The sequence below is a fragment of the Homo sapiens genome, chromosome 20, assembly GCF_000001405.40.
Source record: "Homo sapiens chromosome 20, GRCh38.p14 Primary Assembly".
Classification (NCBI taxonomy): domain Eukaryota; kingdom Metazoa; phylum Chordata; class Mammalia; order Primates; family Hominidae; genus Homo; species Homo sapiens.
The window spans coordinates 29362184-29366809 of NC_000020.11; the positions used below are offsets into that span (position 1 = coordinate 29362184).

General features: G+C 41.7%; 1 annotated feature.

Annotated features, from left to right (window-relative positions):
- Positions 1 to 4626: part of a centromere (Linear centromere model derived predominantly from reads generated in PMID: 17803354. This region does not represent an actual centromere sequence, as long-range ordering of repeats and unmapped WGS contigs is not provided by the model. For details of model production, see http://arxiv.org/abs/1307.0035.) that runs on past both edges of the window.

Consider the following 4626-nt stretch of genomic DNA (forward strand, 5'->3'; position numbering starts at 1 on the left):
TATATATATATATATATATATATATATCCCAAATTAGCTTTTTGTCAGTCATGTATGTTGCAGATCTATTTCCCCAATCTGTTGACTTTTGACTTTGAAGCATTTTTCTCTCATACAAAATTTTAATTTTTATGGAGTCAAATACAACCTTGGCGCCGATCTGGTTCCCGCACTGCCCGGCCTGCGTGAGCACGATTTCCCTCATGGCCAAGGCGGGATTAGAGTGGCAGGAGAAACGCGAGAAGGAGGAGCAGATGCACAGCTACCCAGCCCGTCCTCCACCAACGCTGAAATAGCCCCGTGCCCACCTCCCTCAGCCTCAGATTCGGCTCCCAGAATAAGCAACAGCTTTACTTCCACACAGATGTACCCACCTGTGAATCCCTTAGGGTTGAACATCTGTTGGAGAGCTCAGGTGTCCTTGCTGTGGTCCTTTCCACGTTGGGGAAAGTTGGTCAGCTGGAGAACTTCCTCCCACATCTTTAGTAAGACTAAATCCCTAGCTGAGCTGAAACTGAATTTTCCTCCCATGTGGGAGGGGAAGACTTGATGAGTCTTTTCATCTATTAGGAGTTCTGTGGTTAGGAAAGGTCTTCCAAATGTTAACAGGATTTAATTATAAGTTTTACTTTGGAGCAGTTCAAACCCGCAGTAAGCTATGGGTGTTAGAGATAGTCAGGTGTATGATTTAGCTAGAGTCTTCTTTAGAGTAAGATTAGCCCTTTCATCTTTCCAGAGTACTGTGGTCTGCACACAGAGTGAAGGTAATATTGGATTCTTAAAGCTGAGGATAGGTGTTGAGATGCACCTGCTGTGAAAGACGGGTCATTGCCACTTTGCAGGCTTTTAGATTACCCAAACTGAGAAGTTATTTCTTCTGGTAAACATTTTTCAGATGGGGTGGTGAATGCCTCGATCTAACCAGCGAAGATATCAGTAAGCATTAGCAAATATTTGAATCTCCTGCAGAAAGGTATCTGAGTAAATTAGAGTTGCCAGTTCTCACCTGGATAGGTTCCTCAATTTTGGACAGGTTTACCTGGAGAAGGAGAAAATTGCTGGCCATTTCGGTCATGTCAGGCACAGAGCTCAGAGGCCTGAGTCACCTGTTTTTGTGTCTTGAAAAGATTTACCCCTATAAACAAATGAGACATTAACAGAAACCAATAATCCCTTCTAGGGTGAAAAGAATCATGAAAGTGCTGAATTATATTCCTATGATTGGTACTTGGCATTAGTAATTTATTACCATCATTCAGCCAGCCAGAGGGGCCCTGGACTGAAATGCAATCCCTGGCCCATTTTTGTTCTTCTTCAGAGTGTTCTGGCCCAGTTCTATGTATGCTGACCAGCACGCCCATAAGCTTCATTGGCCCTTTTAGTGCAGGGGCCTTGGCTGCGACATCTACAAGGGCATTTCCTTTTACATGGTCAGTCTCTCTTTTGATGTCCTCTGCAATTAATTATAGTCACTCTTGGCAGCAAAGCAGCATTCTAACAAGCTCAAAATCTGAATGATGTTGTATGGAAAAGCCCTTGGGGGTCAGGAGTTCCTACCCATTCCAAATTGCAACATAAGCATGAAGCACTAAAAAATCATACTTGGAATCAGTTTAAATGTTAACTTTTAAATCCTTTCCCAGCTGCAGGGGCTGAGTAGGTTCAATTAACTCAGCTTGTTGAGCTGAAGTAGAGGTCAGCAAGGCTCGTGCCTTGATTCTCTTGTGCTGACTACTAATAGCACACCTAGCCCTCCTGTTTTCCTGATGCATAAAACAACTTGCATCTGTTAACCACTCTTCCTTGGGATGGTCAAGGGGCTCATCTCTCTGAAGTCTGGCCTGCTAGAATCAATTCGTTTCATAACCTGTGACATGCTTCGGCTGTGTCCCAAGTCAAATCTTATCTTGAATTGTAGCTCTCATAATTCCTATATATCGTGGGAGGGATCCAGTGGGAGGTAATCTAATCGGGGGATGGGTCTTTCCCATGCTGTTCTCGTGACAGTGAATAAGCCTCATGAGATCTGATGGTTTATTTATTTATTTTTGAGACATAGTCTTGCTCTGTTGCTCAGGCTGGAGTGCATTGTTATGATCTTGGCTCACTGCAACATCTGACTCCTGGGTTCAAGTGATTCTCCTGTCTCAGCCTCCAGAGTAGCTAGGATTACAGGTGCCTACCACCATGCCTGTCTAATTTTTGTACTTTTAGTATAGACGGGGTTTCACCATGTTGGCCAGGGTGGCCTCGATCTCCTCACCTCAGGTCATCCACTGCCTTGGCCTCCCAAAGTGCTGGGATTACAGCTGATGGTTTTATAAAGGGAAGTTTCCCTACACAAGCCCTTTTGCCTGATGCCATGTAAGAGATGTGACTTTACTCCTCATTTGCCTTCTGCCATGAGTGTGAGGCCTCCCTGACCATGTGGAACTGTGAGTCAATTAAACCTCTTTCTTTATAAATTACCCAGCCTCAGATATGTCTTTATTAACAGCATGAGAACAGACTAATACAACCTGTATGCCAGAAAGGCTAGAAGCTCCTGTGGACTCTGGCCGATAAGTAGCTGGGTTTATGGTTTGGTAGGCTTTAAGGGTTGTCTGGAGTGTCTAGCAATAAGGCCTTATACTTTCATAAATGTTCTCCTATTATCCACTGCTGCCCTTTAGCTTCTAGGACCACCTTCCCTTGGTGTGGGGTCAAAAACCTATAGGTGCTGTTCTGATGTTAGTTTATTAGCTTTGCCTACTAGAAAAGTAGTATCAGCAATAGCTCTAAGACATCAAGGCCACGCTGAGGCCACCTGGTCTATCTGCTTAGAAAATTAGGCTACTGGCCTTGGAATGTCCCCGTTTTGGGACGAGATTACCCAAGGCCTATGCCTTGCTTTTTGGCCACATAAAGAAAAAATGGTTCATCCAACTTGGGGACTCCCATGGCTGCAGCAGACCCCAATTTCTCCTTGAGAGTATTGAAGTTTTGCTTGCAGTTCTCATTACATTCTAGGAGCTCTAAATCTTTCCCTTTAGTGTATCATATAAAGGCTTGGCTACATGCCCAAATCTGGGCACCCATAAGCAGCAGTACCCAGCCATCTCCTAAAAAAGCCCACAGTCATTTTTGGACTGGGACCCTTGGATGACTAAAATAACTTTTTTATCTTCTAGGGATGTTGATCAGTTCCAGAGGTTAAGATAGATTCCAAATATTTAAGTATTTGAGTCAAAATCTGAGCCCTGCATGGCGATGCCCTATATCTACAAGTTCCCAGGAAATTTACCAACTTAACAATATTATTATTTGAGTCTTCTTTAGTTGGGTTTAGTCTTCTTTAATTGGGCTAGCAATGAGCAAGTCACCTATATACTGAGTAATTGTGTCCCTTTCCAATTGTAGATTTCTTAAGTCCTTAGCTAGAGTATTTTCAAATAAGTTGGTCCTATCCCAGAACCCTTCAATGATGACTGTCCAGGTTAGTTTTGAGGCTGAATGCCTATCTGGATCAGCCCATTCAAAGGCAAACATATTATGAATCTGCATTAATATGCAGAAAAATACATCTTTCAGATTTTTTTTAGATTAGGATTTTTATTGAAAAAGTAATACATGCAATTCATACAGAAAGCTTCAGAGTACAAAAGGGTATAAAAAAGTCACTCTACTTCTGTGCATACAAACATATGTACATATATGCATCTTTCCTTATTAAAAAAAGGGCGTAAACCTGCACACCAATGTGAGTCTTTTAAAAATTTCAACAAATTAAGTTGGGTAATAATTTTATTTCCACACTCGTAGATGTTTTATTTTTTAATTCACTTAATATTATTTCAATATATGAATATGCACTAAATTTTTTATCCTTTTTTTAAATTTTATTATTATTATACTTTAAGTTTTAGGGTACATGTGCACAATGTGCAGGTTTGTTACATATGTATACATGTGCCATGTTGGTGTGCTGCGCCCATTAACTCATCATTTAACATTAGGTATATCTCCTAATGCTATCCCTCCCCCCTACCCCTACCCCACAACAGTCCCTGCAGTGTGATGTTCCCCTTCCTGTGTCCATGTGTTCTTATTGTTCAATTCCCACCTATGAGTGAGAACATGCGCTGTTTGGTTTTTTGTCCTTGCCATAGTTTCCTGAGAATGATGGTTTCCAGCTTCATCCATGTCCCTACAAAGGACATGAACTCATCATTTTTTATGGCTGCATAGTATTCCATGGTGTATATGTGCCACATTTTCTTCATCCAGTCTATCATTGTTGGACATTTGGGTTGGTTCCAAGTCTTTGTTATTGTGAATAGTGCCGCAATAAACATATGTTTGCATGTGTCTTTATGGCAGCATGATTTATAATCCTTTGGGTATATACCCAGTAATTGGATGGCTGGGTCAAATGGTATTTCTAGTTCTAGATCCCTAAGGAATCGCCACACTGACTTCCACAATGGTTGAACTAGTTTACAGTCCCACCAACAGTGTAAAAGTGTTCTTATTTCTCCACATCCTCTCCAGCACCTGTTGTTTCCTGACTTTTTAATGATCGCCATTCTAACTGGTGTGAGATGGTATCTCATTGTGGTTTTGATTTGCATTTCTCTGATGGCCAGT